This window comes from Homo sapiens, chromosome 17, assembly GCF_000001405.40.
Source record: "Homo sapiens chromosome 17, GRCh38.p14 Primary Assembly".
Taxonomy (NCBI): Eukaryota; Metazoa; Chordata; class Mammalia; order Primates; family Hominidae; genus Homo; species Homo sapiens.
Genome location: NC_000017.11, coordinates 38056967 through 38078876, shown reverse-complemented (window position 1 = coordinate 38078876; position 21910 = coordinate 38056967). Strand labels below are relative to the sequence as shown.

Here is a 21910-nt window from a genome sequence, read left to right as displayed (position 1 = left end):
TAAATTTAAAAGTAAAATAAATTGTGACATTTATTTCACAATACTGTTAGGTTATACTATTCAATATTTCCCATAAACATTTTACCCTTTTTCTTTTTCTTTTTTTGAGTCAGGGTCTCACTCTGTCGCACAGGCTGGAGTGCAGCGGCGCAGTCATGGCTCACTGCAGCCTCGGCCACCTGGGCTCAATAGATCCTCCCACCTCAGCCTCCCAAATAGCTGGGACTACAGGCACGCACCACTATGCCTAGCTAATATTTTTGTTTGTTTGTTTGTTTTTGTTTCGCCATGTGGCCCAGGCTGGTCTCAAACTCATGGGCTCAGGGATCTGCTCGCCTCAGCCTCCCAAAGTGCTGGGATTATAGGCGTGAGCCACTTCACCCAGCTGAATTTACCCATTTCTAAAGTAACAAACACTGAAGTCTTAACCTGAAAATGTCTCTCTCTCTCTCTCTCACACACACACACACACACACACCCCCCACATATGCACATGCAGACAGCAAATTAAAATGGAAAACAGCTCTTACCTTCATCTCCTTCTGGTGCATATGAAGCTGTAATAATATCAATATCAGCACAATTCATCACAATCTGATTAGTCGCCTGCCTCACCTAAGGGGAAAAGGAAAATCAACAGTGTCAGAAATAGCCTAGATTAATAGTATATACAACTTGGCCAGGTGTGTTGGCACACACCTGTAATCCCAGCACTTTGGGAGGCTAAGCAAAGAGGATCGCTTGAGCCCAGGAGTTTGAGACCAGCCTGGAAAACATGGCGAAACCCCATCTCTACAAAAAATACAAAAATTGGCCAGGAGTTGTGATGTGTGCCTATAGTCCCAGCTACTCGGGAGGTTGAAGTGGGAGGACTGCTTGAGCCCAGGAGGTTGAGGCTGCAATAAACTGTGATTGTGCAGCTGCACTCCATCCTGGGCAACTGAGCAAGACTCTGTGTCTCTCAAATAATAATAATAATGATGTTCGTAAGACTTGAACTAATATCACAGTCAATTTTTTAAAATCCAGACTTCGCTAAAACCTAGACTGAGAATTTATGCATCAATGGTACAAATAAATGAAGTTGTAATAATCCAAAGCAACTCATATTTTCCAAATTATATTAAAAACAATAATGGATGTTTAAGTATTTCACATCACTTACATCTAACCAATGAGCCAAATAAAATAATGTTTTCTACTTAAACTTTGATTTTAAACTATTAAAGGGCTGGGCACAGTGGCTCATGCCTGTAATCCCAACACTTTGGGAGGCTGAGGCAGGAGGATTACTTGAGGTCAAAAATTCAAGACCAGCTTGGGCAACACAGTGAGACAAAAAAAAATTTTAAATTAGGAGGTTGTGATGGTACCCACCTATAGTCCTAACTACAGGAGAGGCTGAAGGAGGAGGATCCCTTAAGCCCAGGAGGTCAAGCAAGGCTGCAGTGAGCTATGATTACATCACTGACCTCCGGCCTGAACAACAGAGTGAGACTCTGTCTCAAAAAATAAAAATAGGCTGGGGGCATCGGCTCACACCTGTAATCTTGGCACCTTGGGAGGCCGAGGCAGGCGGATCACTTGAGGTCAGGAGTTTGAGATCAGCCTGGCCAACATGGTGTAACCCCATCTCTACTAAAAATTAGCCAGGTCTGGTGGCACACACCTGTAATCCCAGCTACTCACGATGCAGGGGCAGGAGAATCACTTGAACCCAGGAGGTGAGCTTGCAATGGGCCGAGATCGCACCATTGCACTGCAGCCTGGGCGACAGAGTGAGCCTACGTCTCAAAAAAAAAAAAAAGAATACAAAAATCAGCCAGGCAAGGTGGCATAGGCCTGTAATTCCAGCTACTCAGGGGGCTGAGGCACGACAATTGCTTAAACCCGGGAGGCAGAGATTGCAGTGGGCTGAAATCCTGCCACTACACTCCAGCCTGGTAACAGAGTGAAACTCTATCTCAAAATAAATAAATAAATACGTTTAATTTCATAAAAATCTTAATTAGGAAACATTTCTTACAACATATTGCAATAATTATATATTTTAACCTGCACATCAAACTCACCATGAGGCCTTCTGTGAGGATAGAGGAAGAAGGCTGATACTATAAATTATGTCAAAACTTTATACAATAACTCTTACCACCGAGTGTGGTGGCTCACACCTGTAATCCTAGCACTTTTGGAGGGTCAGGCAGGCAGATCACTTGAGGCCAGGAATTCAAGACCAGCCTGGCTGACATAGAGAGTAGAGAGACCCCATCTCCACTAAAAATACAAAAATTAAGGCCGGGCACGGTGGCTCACGCCTGTAATCCCAGCACTTTGGGAGGCCGAGGCAGGCGGATCATGAGGTCAGGAGATCGAGACCATCCTGGCTAACATGGTGAAACCCCGTCTCTGCTAAAAATACAAAAAATTAGCCGGGCATGGTGGCAGGTGCCTGTAGTCCCAGCTACTCGGGAGGCTGAGGCAGGAGAATGATGTGAACCTGGGAGACGGAGCTTGCAGTGAGCGGAGATTGTGCCACCGCGCTCCAGCCTGAGCAACAGAGCAAGACTCTGTCTCAAAAATAAATAAATAAATAAATAAACAAACAAACTAGCATCTTGGTCCATGTTTTCCTGTGCACACATGAGAGAATTTTTCCATGGAAAGGAACCTAATAGTGGACTTTCTGGATTGTTGGACATAAATCTTCAACTTTACCAAGAACTGCCAAATTATCCTCTAGAGTGGTGTCAACTGACATTCCCATGAGCAAAGAATGAAGAAATCCCACTTTCAGCATGTTCTGAAAAACTTTAGTATTTTTGACAATCTAATGGGTATTAAATGATAGTCCTGGCCAGGCACAGTGGCTCACGCCTGTAATCCCAGCACTTTGGGAGGCTGAGGTGGGTGGATCACTTGAGGTCAGGAGTTCAACACCAGCCTGACCAACATGGTGAAACCCCATTTCTACTAAAAAAAAAAAAAAAAAAAAAAAAAAAAAAAAATTAGCCAGGCCTGTGGTGCGTGCCTGTAATCCCAGCTACTTGGAAGGCTGAAGCAGGAGAATCACTTGAACCCAGGTAGTGGAGGTTGCAGTGAGCTAGATTGAGCCATTGCACTCCAGCCTGGGCAACAAGAGCAAAACTTTGTCTCAAAAATTAAAAAAAAAAATTTTTGTACTGATAGTCCATTGGTTTAATCAGAATTTCCCTGATTACTAATAACATTGGTTACTATGCATCTTTTCTCGTGTGTGTGTGTGTGTGTGTGCACGCGCCATTAAGTTTTTCCACTGTGAACTGCTTGTTTAACACTCTTGTGCATTTTTCTTTTTTTTTTTTTTTTTTGAGATGGAGTCTCGCTCTCTCACCCAGGCTGGAGTGCAATGATGCGATCTTGGCTCACTGCAACCTCCATCTCCTAGGTTCAAGTGATTCTCCTGCCTCAGCCTCCTGAGTAGCTGGGATTACAGGTGTGCAACACCACACCCATCTAATTTTTGTATTTTTAGTAGAGATGGGGTTTCACCTTGTTGGTCAGGCTGGTCTCAAACTCCTGACCTCGTGATTCGCCCGTCTCAGCCTCCCAAAGTGCTGAGATTACAGACGTCAGCCACCACGCCTGGCCTCTTGTGCATTTTTCAATTTAGTCATAACCTTGCTTAAAACAAAACTTCAAATTCATTTCCAGACATTTGAATGTTCTAAATCTAAAATAACAAAAACACAGATGCCCTAAATCACAAAGAAATGCTTCCTGAGGCAGGTAAGTGTAGCAAGCCATGTGGAAGCTGTGCACAACCCCTTAAAAGAAGGAGGTGGTAGCCATTTCTTGGAGCCAAAGAATTATCGCTATGGTGACTGGCAGGTTTAGTGCTGACAGATCTTCCAATTTTTTTTTTTTTTTTTGAGACGGAGTTTTGCTCTTGTTGCCCAGGCTGGAGTGCAATGGCGTGATCTCGGCTCACCGCAACCTCCGCCTCCCAGGTTCAAGCGATTTTCCTGCCTCAGCCTCCCTAGTAGCTGGGATTACAGGCATGTGCCACCACGCCCGGTAAATTTTGTATTTCTAGTACAGACGGGGTTTCTCCATGTTGGTCAGGCTGGTCTCGAACTCCCGACCTCAGGTGATCTGACCGCCTCGGCCTCCCAAAGTGCTGGGATTACAGGCATGAGCCACCGCACCTGGCCTGATCTTCCAATTTTTTTTTTTAAAAGCTACAAATTCAGATTTCATGTGCAGTCTCTCTATTTTTTATTAATGGTAACTAATTCAAGTTTTCAGAAACACTGTATAGACCAAACAAAATCTGTGTGCAGATCAACAATGCTCTTAGACAACTGAACATACCACAAAACTAGGTAAGAACATCAGAGTAGTACGATATCTGCATGAAAGACCTGTATACGGGTAATCATTTATTAATAACCAATACATATTTAAACATGATTAGCTGGCAACTAAAATTACCTGCCTAAATGAGAGACAGTAAATTACAAAGTCTATAATGAGCTATTCAAAATCTGTAACACATAAAGTGAAACTACTTTGGCTTACAAAAAAAATGCTTCTCATAAGTCTTCATGTTTCAAAACAAAGACGTCATTTAATGAATGGCTTATCTTTTAAGCAGCAATATTCCTTCACACTATTTCACCAAAACATACCTAAATAGCACTAAAACCTTTGTGTCCAACTGGCGATTTATAGCACTAAAGTTGAACAAAAAAACAAAAAGAATTCTTTGCCTATTCAGAAGTTGACTTAAAAATTCAGAAACATGGCTGGGCACGGCAGCTCATGCCTGTAATCCCAGAACTTTGGGAGGCCAAGGTGGGTGGATCACGAGGTCAGGGGTTCGAGACCAGCCTGGCTAACATGGTGAAACCCCATCTCTACTAAAAATACAAAGATTAGCTGGGCGTGGTGGCAGGCACCTGTAATCCCAGCTACTCGGGAGGCTGAGGCAGGAGAATCGCTTGAACCCAGGAGGTGGAGGTTGCAGTGAGCCGAAATCGCGCCATTGCACTCCAACCTGGGCGACAAAAGCAAGACTCCATCTTAAAAAAAAAAAAAATCAGAAACACAAAGAAATGAAGCACTTACTGGGGTATGCTCCAATGGGTAAAATGAATAAAAACCTTTCTGAGTTTGAAGTTTATGCCAGCAAAATAATAACTGTGGTTTAGTTACTGGTCTTAATCATTACCTAGGCAACCACACTTTCATCCATCAACATCTACAGTGAATTTCACAGTAGCCAAGCAGTTAATCCACCAATGTCAAGATACCTGTACAACATTATACATGCCAAATCACACAGCACATTACTACTGCAACCATTTGAGAGAAAGTATTTGTGCATTTTGGAAAGGCACCATGCACAACATCCAATTTCAAGTACCTTCCAACTCCTCCTGTGTTTAGGGGAAACTCATCTATTTATACTAATGAATTAAGCTGTTTCTTGAATTGCTACTAATTTTTTTTTTCCAGGATACTACCATTTCTGGAAGGGTGGGAGGGAGGAACCAAAGGAACAAAGGTACTTATCTTAAAAATAGAAATCCATTCACATTTTAAAAATTGGTCAGCATCTTGTCTTATATTAGAGATGCACTTATTTAAAAAGTTGACCAATAATGGGATAATCTATGTAAAGTCTCTGTTTTAGCACTTAGTGCCTCATATGTAGTCATCACTTAATAGATGTTAAGACATACATATACACACACACAGGTTAAATTGTGCTCTCATATCATCTAACAGCATTCACCTAACAGTTTATAAAGCTTCTGATCAGAATGATATGAAGTTTAAAAACTATGTATTGTATTATATGGCACTTTGGATATCAGCATATGTGTACTACCCCAAGAAGGTAATTTAAAATATCTGTCTGGACATAAGTGTATGTGCTGACTACAACGCAGTGTAACACTGCTCTTTGTGATGCTGCTCTTCCAAACAGTAGTGCTGACCTGATGGTGTAGTACATGATTTCTCACCTTTGACACCTTCATATTAGTAAATATTAGCTGTGTGTTCCACTATCAAAAAAACAGGTAATAATTCAAAGAAATTTCAGCATTAAAATCTTCAGTTTCCCAGTTTAAAACACAAGTGAAACAAGGTTGGCATATAAAAGTGCACTGATAACAAGCTCATTTTCAATTTTTCTACTTGATGTTATTAAAGGATAGAATGTTAGTGTATCCTTGCTTTGTTTCAAACCCAGGATTAAGTCTTCTTGGCCTCCTATATAGACTGCACTTCAACTGAGCCAAATACTAAGTAAGGGCTGTACCAAAGAGGCAGCTTGACGCCTGGTAACAACTTTACAATGGAAGTTTCCTATGAGCTAGGGAGGCAGAAATCGGAGATAACATTTTCCTGAATGAGTCTTTACTATAGTCACTCAGGAACATATCTTACATGTACGATAGTAAGACTCAAGAGGGTTTTTTTCTGATTGTCAATGTCCTGAGACTTCAGTAAAAGAAAATCTCCAGTGTGACAATTCCAAATGCCAGTCTGAAGCCTGAGTCAATTTGCCTAATAAAACTGATTTCACCATTAAAATAGCAATAATTGTTGCCTTGGTGGAACAGTTCTATAATAGCTAAAGACAAGAAGAAGCAGATAATTAGTAAACTCAAGTTGAGCCAAGTTTTCTAACAAGAAACACTGAAAAGAGCCATTTGCAGAAGGTCAAAAATAATTACCATTAATGTAAAAATGCAAAAGGCACAGAATATTGGTATGTGATGTTTGTGGCTACTAATATGCAATTAAAGTTTTAAACTATACGTAGGAATAAAAAGGAATAATACGCACCTACCTGAAGAAAGAAGTTACTTCTAGAGGCAGGGTGGGACGAGATGGAAACGGGCTTTAGTGGTATCTGTGACATTTTATTCCCCCCCAAAAAAAGCATGCACAGTCTGATGAAAATGGGGCAAAATGTTAACATCTGTTTAATCTCATAGTGTGTGACTTTCTTGTATTTCTAAAATACTTCCTAATTTAAAATAAAATTTTAAAGAGATTACAAGTGACCAAATAAACCAAGAACCACATACTTGTATGGTGTTCAAAACAAAATCACTAAAATCTAGAGAACTAATCTCAGTTAACAACAAAAGCCATCCGAAGGCTCAGTTATTTCCCACTGACTCACATACAGATTAGAGTAAGATTTACTTCACAACAAGAGCAGGCTCATTTATGTGGCAAAGTTCGGAGAAGCTTCACAGATAATTTACTACTCAAGACCACATTTACCCAGGTTGTATCAGAGTATCAGTTGTATCTAGAACCAGGAAGCTAAAAAGAAAGAAAAAAAAAAAAGGCCTGGATGAAAAGCCAAAATAGGTGATACAAAGTCCGTACAATAAAACACATACCCTTTACTCAGAAGAGAATCCAACAAACTCTCACACAGCAATTGATTTTTTAGCCCAAACAAGCTTGTTTATCTGGCTACTAAGGCTTCTTCAGATGAAGTTCAGTAAAATACAAGAGGGAAGAAATTGCACAACAGGCAGCAACAAGGCACAATAAGCAGCAAGAAGAATCTGAGAGTAAGGAAAACAAAACAATTTTAAAGAACAGACACAGGCTAGCCGGGTGCGGTGGCTCAGGCCTGTAATCCCAGCACTTTGGGAGGCCGAGGCGGGTGGATCACAAGGTCACGAGTTCGAGACCAGCCTGGCCAATATGGTGAAACCCCTTCTCTACTAAAAATTCAAAAATTAGCCTGGCATGATGGCAGGTGCCTGTAGTCCCAGCTACTTGGATGAGGCAGGAGAATCGCTTAAACCCGGGAGGCGGAGGTTGCAGTGAGCTGAGATCACGCCACTGCACTCCGGCCTTGGCGACAGAGCAAGACTCTGTCTCAAAAAAAAAAAAAAAAAAAAAAAAGAACAGATATGGACTAGGCGCGGTGGGTCATGCCTGTAATCCCAGCACTTTGGGAGGCAGAGGCGGGCGGATCACCTGAGGTCGGGTGTTTGAGACCAGCCTAGCTAACATGGTGAAACCTGGTCTCTACAGAAATACAAAAATTAGCCAGGTGTGGTGGCATGCACCTGTAATCCCAGCTACTAGGGAGGCTGAGGCAGGAGAATCCCTTGAACTAGGGAAGTGGAGGTTGCAGTGAGCCGAGATCGCACCACTGCACACTCCAGCCTGGCCTAGGCAACAGAGTGAGACTCTGTCTCAAAAAAAAAAAAAAAAAAAAAGAACAGATATGGCTTGGCGCGGTGGCTCACACTTGTAATCCCAGCACTTTGGCAGGCGGAGGCAGGCAGATCACCTGATGTCAGGAGTTCAAGACCAGCCTGGCCAACATGGTGAAACCCTGTCTCTACTAAAAATACAAAATTAGCCAGGCGTGGTGGTGCATGCCTGTAATCCCAGCTACTAGGGAGGCTGAGGCAGGAGAACTGCCTGAACCCGGGAGGCAGAGGTTGCAGTGAGCCGAGATTGTGCCACTGCACAATCTCCCTCCTGCCATCTTGTGAAGAAGGTGCCTGCTTCCCCTTCCCCTTCTGCCATGATTGTAAGTTTCCGGAACTGCAAGTCAATTAAGCCTGTTTCCTTTATAAATTACCCAATCTCAGGTATTTCTTTACATCAGTGTGAAAACAAATGAATACAGTCCCCTTCCCTGAGGTGCCTTCTCCTTAGGCAACCAGCTGCCCCCATGCTCCTCTTCTGCCCCCCTGGTATTTCCTTTCCCCTCATGAGGCCCAAGTGATCCACATGGCCAGCCACAGCCCCATCCTACTGCAGGCCTGTGTGGCTGCTAGAGAGGCCAGGCTCCTTTCCGCACCCCGAGGCTGCCCGATATGCTTTCTGCATCCTGTAGAAAACTGACCCACTATTCTCATACTGGTGCAACTTCTTCCATTACCTCAAAACTGGACAACGTGAACTTGTTTCTTGTCTCTTCTTGCTAGGGCTGTCACTGGGACAGTCCGAGATGGGGGGGTGGGGGGAGACAATGGATGAATGGATGGATGAATGGACAGTAGTCCAGGGAGATGTCCCTGTGTGTCCTGAACTGGGACCTTCCTCCAATGAGAAGCCTTCCTGAGTGAGTTTATACAGTCATCCCTTGGTATCCATGGATTAGTTCTAGGGTCCCCGGGGATGCCAAAATCCATGGATCCTCAAGTCTCTGACATAACATGGCCTAGTATTTACATATCAGCTATGCACATCCTCCCGTAGACATTAGACCATCTCTGGATTATTCATGATGTGTAATACAATGCAGATGCTACATAAATGGTCGTGATACTGGATTCTTTAGGGAATAATGACAAGAACAAACTCTGCACATGTTCAATAGAAACATAACCGTCCAATTTATTTTCTGAATATTTTCCATCTGCTGTTGCTGAATCTACAGATGCAGAGCTCCTGGATACGAGAGCCAAGTGTGCTTTGAGAGTAGGGTGGGTGAGGTTGCTAATGAGTACAGGGGAGCAGGTGTTGATCAGGAGGACCCTGCACTGGGGCATCTGGACGTCCTGCCTCAGGACTTGAGACTCCAGTTGGATGGCACAGGCAGACTCAGCCCAGGTCAAAGCCGTCCCCTTGAAGTTTCTTTTTATCCCAAGCTCTTTCTGGCCCCTGGAATTTGGCATCCCCTAGGCCCTGTGTGGAAGGACAGATGAACCAGGTTTTAGATAACATGTCTAGAAGAGTGAGCCCCTACTGTGTGCCCGGCACTTTCCCCACAGGATCCTCTAGCTAGAATATCCAAGGGTCATGGAGAGAAATACCCAGTTAAAATATCAGAAATGAAAAAGCGATACCATTAGAGACACTAAAAAGACCATTAGGTAATAGTACTAGCTTTTGTATTCTGAGATCCAACAGCAGCAGTCACTTCCCTCCACCGCTATGTGTATCCCAGGACCACCCTGGGCGGGGAGGGCTGAGGTTAGGGAGCAGCCATGGATGCTCTGATGCTGGCCCTGGGCCTCGGGGGTGACAGTGATGAGGAACTGGGTGCACACATGAGTGGGGCAGCCGGGCCTGGCCAGAGAAGCAGCACACACGTGCACAGATGTGTTTACCCACATACACATGTGCACGCACGTGCACAAACACATTGCAGGCAGGCATGTTGACGCCTCAGGCAGCGGAGGACCCTGACTCTGGGCGCTGCTGACCCGGGCAAGGCCCCACTGTGATTCGTGCCATGACCTCAGAATGTCACTGGTGCTTAGCACCTATCTGCTCTCTGGTCTGCCTCAGTGGTCTACAGCAGTTACACACAGGCAGTGGTATCTGTGAGCAGCTCTGTGGACTCAAAGGTTTTCTCCCTGAGAGGCACGACCCAGGCCAGCTGATTCATCAGAATCAGGTGAGCGTGACCTGCTCTCTTCCCTCCAGGCGGACTTGGGGGCAGTGGCTACGGTGCGGGCGGTGTTGGCCTCTGTGGGGCAGCTACCGAGGAGGGTCATCCCTGAGCACTCACCAGGCGCCCGTTCTACACTGCCCGTGTAGACGATTGGCTCTTTCGTCTCCATGGTGGCTTCGTAGAGTGGGTGCTGTTCCCAAATGTCCCCATTCGACAGATGAGACGTCTGGGGTCAGAGAGGCAGTAACCGGCCTGGGAATCCGGACATGACCCTGAGTTTTGCTCTCAGCCCTGCCGTGTGCTGTGCTGGAATTCAGGCCTGAACCCTGTGACCTCCCTGCCCTAGATCCCAAATCTGCCCAGGTTTCCCATCCCGATGGGGCAGAGCCTGGTCCTGGCAGAGCCACTGGTATAGAGCCACTGGTACAGATCCACTGACGGTCCTCAGAACACCTCTGTGCCCTAAGCTGGGTCCTGATGGTCGCTGTGGGCCCCACTGAACACACATGGTCCCTTGTCCGGGGGAGCCTGCTGCCCTTGGGCAGCTGTGGAAAATGAAGGAGCCCTGGAGGGCTGGCTGAGGGGAGACTATCTTCCCTTGTGTTCAAAGGGGTCCGGGCACTAGGGTTCTCCCCAGGTATTTCTTGCTCTGCGTGGTCCTCTTGAGGCCTCGCCCTCCTTTTGCCTCGAGTATTCCCAGGAGGGACGGTCCATCCAGCTGTTCTCCAGGACCAAGGACCCACTGTTCTTCCTCAGTGACCCAGGAAAATGAAGCCTCCTCCTGTTGGGACGGCTCAGAATGGTGGACTCCACAGTCCCTCCGCGAGAGACGTGGTTTCCATGCGTACAATAGATCTTTCTCATCCCCCAAACCCAACACCCTCCTGCTCAACAGGCGTTATTCCTAAAGTGGCTTCACTGTTCAGACTGAAGAGCCACGGTAGCCAAAGTGATGAGCGGAGTAGAACCGAGCAGTCGGGAGAGATCTTGTTCCCTGTAGGAAACTGGGCATCGCTGAGGCCCTGAGCATCCCAGGAGGCCGATTGCACAGAGACCTCTGGTCGCTGACCCCAGTCTGCCTCCACATCCCTGGAATAGCCCATCATGGGCCCTTCACCCTTGGCAGGTGGAAACCATTCAACCTGCTGGGGCCGGTGTGTCCCCATTTCATGGCATTGGGGGACAACAGGATTCTCTGTCTAGGTCCCACTGTACTCAAGTCCTTGGGAAGATGCCCACCCCTGCTTGGGACTTGAGACTCCAGAGACTGGAGCAGCTGTGGGCCACTGGGTCTGGCCCCTTTTTCCCTGGGGGCGGCGGTGGAATGGGGGTTACGCAGCCAGCCAGCATCTGGGAGCCCGGCGAGAGCGGTTCAGGTGTTCTCCGAAGCCGCCGCGTACGGTGTGACCTTTAGACAATTCTGTCTCACAGGATGGACGTGGTAGAGGTCGCGGGCAGTTGGTGGGCACAAGAGCGAGAGGACATCATTATGAAATACGAAAAGGTACAAGTCGGTCTGCTTCTTGGAGGGAGGCCTCTTCCAGTGTGCCCTGGTCAAAGGGTCCTGGGCTCCCTAGGAGCACAGGGCAGGGACGGGTGGCCAATGCCCCCAGGCCCTTGCACCCTTTACCTTGGACCCCTCACCAAGGCTCCCTCTGGGCTACAGGGACACCGAGCTGGGCTGCCAGAGGACAAGGGGCCTAAGCCTTTTCGAAGCTACAACAACAACGTCGATCATTTGGGGATTGTACAGTGAGTCCTCTGCACTCCCCTCACCCCTAAAGCACCTGTCTCAGCTCAGGGATGGGTTTGCTTTTAGAAAGGCCTTTCTGACGCAGGACATGTCTCACCAGGTCGGGTCAACCTCCTTTCCAGGGACAGAACTCCTCCCTGACTCCCCTGCAGGTCCAGCCCGAGGTTGTTAGGCCAGAGGTGTGGGGCCCATCTAGGGAGCCGGTGGGAATGGAGACTGGGCTAGGTCAGGCCCCTGGGCGCTCAGCAGTTCTGTCGGCAAGTGAGCACAAGAGGAGCGGGGCAGCCTGAGGGTCTGGCCCTGTCTACTTGGAGACAACCCCGGTGAGATGCAAGGGTTATGGCCACAGGGTGAGGAGACGCCTGGCCCAGCCTCAGGGCTGTTGTCCAGCAGGTCTCTGAGGGCCCACCTGCCCCTGTTCTCCCCCATTCCCCTAGAGCTACAGCCCTCACTGTCCCGTGAGGGGAAAAGGCATGGTGACAATGGGGGCTGTAGCCCTAGGAGAACGGGGGAGAAGATGGGCAGGGCCCCGTTCTGGGCATCTCACGGTGAGGCCAGGGAGGCAGCAGGGCTCGCGGCTAAAGACCTGGGTCTGGTGCTGGGAAGGGATCTGGGGCCGGGTAAGAGGAGCCCAGCCAGGAGCCCATCCCTCAGGGATCACAGGATGGAGAGACAGAGGATCCCTGGGGAGGTAGGGCGGGAGGGAGCTGACGAGCCGTGCCACTTCTGAAACGCAGGGTGTGTGGCTCGGGTGCAGGGAGAGGCAGGTGGATGCTGGGAGGTCAGAACCTGCAAGGGCCTTGGGGCTGTCAAGTGGGGTGGGCCCCTGGTGCAGCCAGAGTACACCGGGCAGGTCTCAGGGCAGGCTCCCTTGACCCTGGCGGGGGGATGTGGTCACTCCCTGAGGGACTCCTGTCAGGGCCCGGTCGCCCACCCTGGGCGGCCCCCATCCCATCTCAGGGCTAACCTTTCTCAGCTCCAGCAGAAAGCACCACCTCGAGTCCAGGACGGGCAGCCCCATTGGGCAGCCTGACCGCCCCCCACGCCAGGGGCCCCAGTAACCCCGGCCAGGCTGTCCCTACACTCCTTCTTCTCCCAGGTCCTGCCCCTCCTGGGAGTCAGCCCCACAGGAAGGCCCTTGTCCTCCCTTCCCTGTGCCTTCTCCTGGGCTGAGCCCTGAGCTGGAAAGGGACAGAGCCAGTCCTTTCTGGGGGTCGGCACCCAGGCTGGGGCCGCTCCAGGCCCCGTGCAGTTCCTCAGCTCTGCCTGGGTTGCCTTACAGTGAGACGGAGCTGCCTCCTCTGACTGCGCGGGAGGCGAAGGTAAGAGCCTGATGCGTGGAGGGGCTGGTCCAGGGACGTAGGGACTGGGCGGGTGGTCAGTGAGGCAGAGGAAGCAGCTGGCCTGAGCGGTGGCGGGTGAGGGCAACACGCTGTCACTGGGAGGGGCAGCAGTCCCTGCTGGACCTGACCCCAGGTTGCTGTTCACTTTGGCAGTTTGATAAAATTCCAAAAGGAGAACCACAGTCCTGGCTTGGGGGTGGCTGCGCGCTTGTGTCAGGACCCCACCTAGAGGCTGGGACCTAAGACTGGTGTGTCTGTGGCCTGAGGATGGTACATCCCGGGGTCCCAAAGCCAGCCCACTGGTGCTCATTTGCTCAAAGGCTCTCAGCCCTTGAGGTCTGCCCTTCCCTGGCTCCTTCCAGCTGGCTCCCACCAGGGCTCCAGAGCCCAAGACCCAGCATCCGCGGGCGGCTCTGGGAAGCCTGGCAGCTCCGCTAACTCCAACATGCCTCATTTGACAGCAAATTCGGCGGGAGATCAGCCGAAAGAGCAAGTGGGTGGATATGCTGGGAGACTGGGAGAAATACAAAAGCAGCAGAAAGGTAACGTGTGGAGGGAGGAAGCACTCTCTGCAGAGACAGGGGACAGGCACCCATGGCTGTGGCCTGGCACCATCAGCCTCTCAGAGGGTGGGCGGCACACTGTCCTCGCCCAGAGGACTGCAGGCCTGGTCGCCAGATTTCCTGCCTATTCGTGCAAGCGTCACCTTGCAGGGAGGGAATCTGAATCTAGGGCTGGGACTACCCGGAGCTCAAGGCTAGGGATGCCCTGGTGACCTGAAGGAAGGAAAAGGTTCAGATCAGAGTTTCGACTCTGAGTGTCCATCCACTCTTTCAGTCCTGGGAAGGGAGACCCTGTCCCAGCTTGATCTCACCTCTACTGAGGAATCATGGGGCCAAAACCGACAATTTCCAGAATCCCCGGGCTCTGGTCCTCACTGGGGTCACCCCGTGGCCTGTGACACCAGATCGTTTTCTGCCCACAGCTCATAGATCGAGCGTACAAGGGAATGCCCATGAACATCCGGGGCCCGATGTGGTCAGTCCTCCTGAACACTGAGGAAATGAAGTTGAAAAACCCCGGAAGATACCAGGTACGCTCAGCCAGAGCACAACAAACAGGACAGGCCGTGTCGGGGCCCAGGTCTCCAGCTGGAGGGAACGTCAAGACCACCCTGGGGAGCTGGGGGTGAAGGTCAGATGAACACCCTGGGCACAGATGGTGACACAGTCACCACAGACAAACTCAGCTCTGGTGACCCTCCCTGGCTTCAGTAACAAGCCAAAATGCAGCTTTCTGCAGAAGGAAACCTTCCTTCTGTCCTTCCTTCCCGAAGTGCTGACTGTGGGCTGACTGCCACTGGGGGCAGGGAGTCTTCCATCTGTTCTGAGACTGCTTCCTCCTCTTGGCCCTGCCCTACAGATCATGAAGGAGAAGGGCAAGAGGTCATCTGAGCACATCCAGCGCATCGACCGGGACGTAAGCGGGACATTAAGGAAGCATATATTCTTCAGGGATCGATACGGAACCAAGTAAGCCTACGGGAGCCACAGGGTCCCAGCAGAGATGGGGTGAATGAGAGGGATGGGGGCTTCCCCGGAGCAGAAGCCAGGGTCACCCAGGAGGGATGACACAGCTGCCAAGAGCTCTCCCGGCCCAGGGAGCAGCCGGCACCATGAACCGAGCACCTCCCTGGTTCCAAGCCCTGGGCCAGACTGGAACATGTGGGGCCAGAACCCAGGAGGATCCTGAGGAGATGGAAGGCAGCAAACAACATCATGCACAATGGTGAAGGGTGCTCTCCCTGACCCATGGGGACCCATGGTAGGACCCACGGGAGGGTGGCAGGATAGAGGGCCCATGAGCCCCCCCCAGGCAACAGTGACAGCACCAAATGCTGGGAGAATTAGGGGTCCTGGAAACTCTCATCCAGGTCCGCTGGGAACATGACATGGCACAGCCACGTTGGCAGCCCGTTGGGCAGTGGCTCACAAAGCTCGATGGACTTGAACCACACATCCCCAAAGTGTCACAGATATTGAACCCACTGATTTGCAAACTGACATCCACATGAAACCAGCATGCCAGGTTCACTGCTTGACTCCTCGTCACTCACACACGGAGCCTTCGGGGACGGCCTTCAACACGGGGATGGGGAGAGCAAGGCTGGTCCTCCCTTCAAACGGAAGACCCAGTGAGAAAAGGGAACGAGCCGGTGATGCCCGCACGAACGTGGGTGGATCCTAGATGCATTTTGCTGAGGGACAGAAGCCAGACCCAATAAGCTACCACAGTAGGATTCCCATTCCTAGGCCATTCTGGAAAAGGCCAAACCACAGGGACTGAGAAGCAGTCTGGGTGGCCAGGGGCTGACGGATCGGGGAGAGGCTGGGTGCATAGGGGCCACCCTGGAGACTTGGAGGATGAAGGAGTCGCCCCAGGAGGGGCTGGAGCGGTGGCCGGGAGACTCTGCACATCGGTTTGGAACCGTGGAGGAACTGTACACCCACAGACTGAACTGGCGTGTGTGCAAACTGAAAAAAAAAAAAAAAAATCATTCAGAGTGAAAAGGATCAGGCAAGTCACTGTACAACTGGGCTATTTGCATGTCACAGATGTGGATTTTACTGAAACATTTCTTCAAGAGTCTCAGGCCCTGAAGAGCTCACTGCTTATCTGGTGAAACATCTGAACCTGAAATGGGATTTGCTGTTAGGCTTTGTAGACAAAGTGAAATTAACAACATCTGCACAAAACAAACCAAAGCCCCCTTTCTCTGTTTCCTAGGCAGCGGGAACTACTCCACATCCTCCTGGCATATGAGGAGTACAACCCGGTGAGTATTCCCGGCAGTGAGGTTCCCGGGCCATATTTCCATATTGACAGGAGTGGGTGTCTGGTGGGGGTGTCGTTGCTTCTTTTAAAGTTAGTATTTGTGACCCACCAGGATATAGGAGGTAGGATGTCAGCTCACCGCTGGCATAAACCTCCAAGGAAGGGGGTGGTCTCAAGGGGTCAAGCTGAGACACAAAGGAGTCAGGGCCTGGACTCCTGGTGTCACCTGGGCCTGACCACCACTTCTCAGAACAAGAAATGACGCCCTCCTCCTGGGGCTGCCCCAAAGCCCAGGAGCTTGGCAGCATCGCACACAGGATGGTGCTATCAGCAGACATTTTGGACAAGGTGCTGAAGTGCCTGATGGACTTGGCTCTTGTCATGAAATGAATGTGCATCCTGAGGAAGCCTCTTTTTCAGAGGAAGCCTCTCCTTCAGAGGAAGCCTCTCCAGTCACCTCTGCCCTCTCCAATGACATGAGTCCTCCCAGGTGACCTCAGCCCTCCCAGGTGATGTCCTTCCATGGTGACTCTGGCTCTTGCAGGAGGTGGGCTACTGCAGGGACCTGAGCCACATCGCCGCCTTGTTCCTCCTCTATCTTCCTGAGGAGGATGCATTCTGGGCACTGGTGCAGCTGCTGGCCAGTGAGAGGCACTCCCTGCAGGGTAAGTGAACAGCTGCCCCGGGGACCTCCTGCAGCCAGACCTGGGGATGGCCACCCTGGCCAGGTGATCACAGCTTTCAGCCAAGGCACCCTCCTTGTGTCGCCAGCTTGTTGGGAGACTTTAGGATGTCTCTGCTGAGGGTCCCACAGGAGTCCACGGCTGACCCCCAAAGCCCAAATCAGACGCCTCTCATCCCCATCAGCAGAGGGCATCTCATCCTCCCCGTGGCCACCCTCTGTGTCCTGGAGCCACGCCCTCCGGCTCTGATTCTGTGCAGCTGACTCTCCCCTCCCTGAGAGTCCTCCTGCCCTCCAGCTGCCCGGGCTCCTGCTGCCATCGGTGCCCACGAATGGGCCGACCAAGCCCAGGTGGCAGCATCTCCCCATCCCCTGTTCCCTGGCCCGACCCCACTACCAGGAGATGACCGGGAAGCCCAGCGCCCACCCAGTTCCGGCCACCCTGTCGTGGCCTGAAAGTCAGGCTTGCCCTTTTTGCACCCTGGCCCAGGAGGCCTCCAGGGGAACCTCCAGCCAGGCTCCAGGGAATGTTCCCGCCCCACCTCCCCAGGGTAAAGGCCGCATGTTGGGGTCACCAGACGGGAGGGTGGGAGGCCTTGGGGTTTGGGGGCCTCTCCAGCTGCCCAGCTCTTGCAGCTGATGGCTCCACATCTTGGGGGAAGGCTCTGATTTCATGATGGGCTGGGGGCTTCTCAGGATTTCACAGCCCAAATGGCGGGACCGTCCAGGGGCTCCAAGACCAACAGGAGCATGTGGTAGCCACGTCACAACCCAAGACCATGGGGCATCAGGTGAGTTTATGGTCCCCTCAGCTCTTCCCAGAGGCCCTGCCTCCCGTGGGGCTGTAGGAGCAGGGGGGCTGGAGCCCCTCGTGGGGCTGGTGACTGGCTGAGTCCCAGCCAGGGCCTGACCTGGGACGTCGGGTTCTCCATGGGCTGGGAGTTGGTTTCCTTTCCTGCCCTGGAGGAGACAGAGGCACAGGGATGGGGGGCCCAGCTCCCGCAGAGCAGGGCAAAGGGCAGTGTGTCCACCGGGAGTGTGGGAAGGTGACAGTGTTGTGGGGAGCTCTGGACACCGCCCAGTGTTCTGCACTAGGGGAAGGGTCTTCAGAGGCCCTGGAAGAGGGAGGTTTTTAGGGCAGCCCAGTGGCCTGAGCACCTCTGTTGCTTCCATCAGGACAAGAAAGATCTATGTGGGCAGTGTTCCCCGTTAGGCTGCCTCATCCGGATATTGATTGACGGGGTAAGGAGGCATAGGGAGACCCTGGCTCAGGGACCTTCCTTGCCCTGCAGTGCCCTGCTTCCCCAGCCCGGGGGTCTGGCTCACTCCCAGCCCACAGGAGGCTCAGGCGGGTCCCCAAAGGACACACGAGCAAAACCCTCTGCCCAAGGGGGGTCATCCCAGGGCCATGGCTGGGGCTCAGGCCCAGCCTCATGGGCAGACTGGGCCAGGACCCGACTTGAGAGGGCTCAGGGAAGCCTCAAGCCCTGGGCAAGCCCCTCTCTCCAGGAGCCACATCCCCACTCAAATGAGTGCCCCCCATGAGGAGCTTCAAGACCTTGTCTGACCCAGCGTCCTGGAGGGCTCAGGCGACCCTCATGGGGAAGGTCACTGACTCTGGAGACTGAAGCCCCAGTGTGCGCAGCTCGAGCCACCAGCCCCAGCCTGGAAGGACCAGGTTCTTTCACACCTGCTGTCCCCACAGATCTCTCTCGGGCTCACCCTGCGCCTGTGGGACGTGTATCTGGTAGAAGGCGAACAGGCGTTGATGCCGATAACAAGAATCGCCTTTAAGGTTCAGCAGAGTAAGTCTACGTGTGCCCAGCGGGGCCTGGGGAGCCCTGGGGTCAGACCCCGACTGGCCCGAGGGCAGCTTCCTCACACTGTCCTCATGATCCTCTGTTCTGGCCCAGAGGGAGGTCTGGCCAGGTGGGCTGGGCAGGACACTGTGACACCGAGCCCATCCCCCACATGACCCAGATGAAAGTCGAGAGTGTGGTGAGCACTTCCCTGTCCGGATCGCCCCCCAGCCACAGTCTCCTGTGTGTATCTGGACACCTGGGGTGGCCACAAAAGGATCCGGCACCGCCCAGTAGGAGACTGAAGTGGCCACGGGGTATGAGCTGTGACCATTCCCAGGTAACTCCCCTGGCCTGATATCCACCCTGTCCCTAGAGCGCCTCACGAAGACGTCCAGGTGTGGCCCGTGGGCACGTTTTTGCAACCGGTTCGTTGATACCTGGGCCAGGGATGAGGACACTGTGCTCAAGCATCTTAGGGCCTCTATGAAGAAACTAACAAGAAAGAAGGGGGACCTGCCACCCCCAGGTGGGCTCCAGTGCCATGTCCCCTCCCATGTCACCCTCTGGGGTAGTCAGTAGTAGGGGAGTGCCCGGGACCCGCAACCCTACTACCTGGGCCTTCCTCTTCACCTTTTCTTCCTCCTCTTCCTCCTGGACTCTAAGAAAGTACAGGAGGCCCACCGGTCCTCAGGGCAGGCGCTCAGTGCGTGTATACTGGACATGCTGTGCACGCAGGAGGGGGATGTGGGCAAGACCCTCCAACAAGCCCCCTCCCACTTTCCACGGTGTCTCCCTCTCCCCCTCGCAGGGCCCTCCAAGTTACTAGACGAGCCCAGACCCATTTGTGGGAGACCCCGCCCCTCCCTGCAAGCACCCACAGCCTCAGAGAGCAGCAGAGGCCCCTCACTCCTGCACGCTCCTCCAAGGTTGCCAGGACAAGAAGCCTGGAGCCAGGGAGACAAGGGAATCCGTGTCCCTGACCCACAGAGCATTCAGGGAGAGGGCACAGGCGGGACCCCGGGCCCAGAGCCAGAGCCAAGAGTTCAGCCAGAAGTGGGAACGGTCAGTCCTGGCATGGACTGGGCAGCCCAGGAGGGCAGAGGGTGACCCACGTCCGGGCCCAATCACCCACTGCGGAGACGGGTCCCCACGTGAGGTGACAAGGGGCTGGGTGACATCCAAGGCCCCTCCCACCTGAGTTCTGACTGGGGGCCGTATCCCAGGCCCAACAGCCCTGGGACGAAGGTGTGTGGCAGGAAGCCCCCAGCCAGTCTGAACCCTGGGGGCAGTCCCAGGAGCCACCCGCCATGCCACGACAGCTTCCCCACGCCAGGCAGCACGCACCCCTCCCTCTGGGATCAGCAGACTACAGGCGTGTCCTCGGTGTCAGGCCACGGGGGCCACACAGAGACCCCGAGGACTCCAGAGACGCAGGCAGGTGGGGCCCAGCCCGGAAAGGCCTGCGTGGGCTCACTGGAGATGCTGACCGCGTCTGTTTTCCTTTCAGCCAAACCCGAGCAAGGGTCGTCGGCATCCAGGCCTGTGCCGGCTTCACGTGGCGGGAAGACCCTCTGCAAGGGGGACAGGCAGGCCCCTCCAGGCCCACCAGCCCGGTTCCCGCGGCCCATTTGGTCAGCTTCCCCGCCACGGGCACCTCGTTCTTCCACACCCTGTCCTGGTGGGGCTGTCCGGGAAGACACCTACCCTGTGGGCACTCAGGGTGTGCCCAGCCCGGCCCTGGCTCAGGGAGGACCTCAGGGTTCCTGGAGATTCCTGCAGTGGAACTCCATGCCCCGCCTCCCAACGGACCTGGACGTAGAGGGCCCTTGGTTCCGCCATTATGATTTCAGACAGAGCTGCTGGGTCCGTGCCATATCCCAGGAGGACCAGCTGGCCCCCTGCTGGCAGGCTGAACACCCTGCGGAGCGGGTGAGATCGGCTTTCGCTGCACCCAGCACTGATTCCGACCAGGGCACCCCCTTCAGAGCTAGGGACGAACAGCAGTGTGCTCCCACCTCAGGGCCTTGCCTCTGCGGCCTCCACTTGGAAAGTTCTCAGTTCCCTCCAGGCTTCTAGAAGCATCTGGGCCAGGGCTCATGGCTGGATAATTTCCCTAGGCTTAACAACCCAAGCAAGCTTCGCATCCTCGTTTTATTTTTGGTTAAACTTATGAAAATGTATTAAGAAAGAGTGCAGCTCGAGAGAGATTCAGAGATGGAACACACCAGACCCCAGATCACAAAGCCAACCATGCCCAGCCCCTCCCAGCACCCCCAGCCCCACGACCATCGTTCTGAATTCTGACGACACCGTGAGCCTACCTTTGTACTTCAAACTCATGGAAGGATAACCACCTTCATGTTTTGAAATAAATGTTTCCTGTTGAAATGATTTTAGATTTTAGACAGAAATATTGAAAAGGCACTATAGTATCCTCCTATACCTTCCATCCAGCTGCCCCTAATAATGATGTTTTGCAGTCCCATGGCACATAAGAAATTTAGGCCGGGTGTGGTGGCTCACACCTGTAATCCCAGCAATTTGAGAGGTCGAGGCGGGAGGTTCAGGTTCACTTGAGTCTAGAAGTCTGAGACCAGCCTGGGAAACCTAGGTGGACCCGGTCTCTAGAGAAAAGTCAAAGAAATTAGCCAGGCATGGTGGCGTGTGCCTATAGTCCCACCTAGTCAGGAGGCTGAGGCAGGAGGATTGCTGGAGCCCACGAGTTCCAGGAAGCAGTGAGCCATGATTGCACCACTGCACTCCAGCCTGGGTGACAGAGTGAGACTTTATCTCTTAAAAAAATTTAAGAAATTTAATGTGGGTACAGTTCTATTAACTAAATAATAATGTGAACTATTATCTAAGGTTATGAAGGCTAGAATTATCCCATTTTTGCCTAACTTCTCGTACCTGTCCCAAGATCCCACCTTGGACTCACCCTCTGCCTTCAGCTCACGTCTCTTCAGCTTCCTCCACATGGTCCAGCAAACACACACCTGGGCTGAATGGTAGAGCTGATCGCTCATACACAAAGGTAGACCGGTGGGCAGGGATTTTCAGACTTACACAGTCAATGAGTTTTCCTTGGTGTTCTGGAGAGCACCGTTTGAGAAACAC

The 21910-nt window shown here is 52.0% G+C and overlaps 1 protein-coding gene and 1 pseudogene across 8 annotated transcripts in view; one reads left to right on the top strand and one right to left on the bottom strand.

Annotated features, from left to right (window-relative positions):
* Nucleotides 1-615, bottom strand: part of LOC101929950 (puromycin-sensitive aminopeptidase-like protein) — a 40103-nt pseudogene extending 39488 nt beyond the window's left edge. Inside the window, exon 1 of the transcript NR_164156.1 lies at nt 531-615. The product of NR_164156.1 is annotated as a puromycin-sensitive aminopeptidase-like protein (transcript). The remainder of the gene's footprint in view (nt 1-530) is intronic.
* A 7960-nt stretch (nt 616-8575) lies between these two features.
* TBC1D3C (TBC1 domain family member 3C) lies at nt 8576-21184 on the top strand. Of its 7 annotated transcripts, none has more exons than NM_001001418.6 (14): nt 10243-10381; nt 11810-11882; nt 12045-12130; nt 13414-13453; nt 13936-14016; nt 14460-14567; nt 14897-15006; nt 16262-16310; nt 16854-16974; nt 17688-17782; nt 18168-18233; nt 18697-18796; nt 19167-19319; nt 20301-21184. In NM_001001418.6, exons 2-14 carry the CDS (start codon nt 11811-11813, stop codon nt 20867-20869), a joined length of 1650 nt encoding a protein of 549 aa, NP_001001418.5. In that variant the 5' UTR covers nt 10243-10381; nt 11810; the 3' UTR covers nt 20870-21184. The 7 variants fall into 7 exon arrangements, with proteins under 7 accessions (XP_047292038.1, NP_001001418.5, XP_011523116.1 ...); XM_011524814.3 differs by having other exon boundaries at nt 13231-13453; XM_047436082.1 differs by having other exon boundaries at nt 8576-11882.
* Nucleotides 21185-21910: the final 726 nt, after the last annotated feature.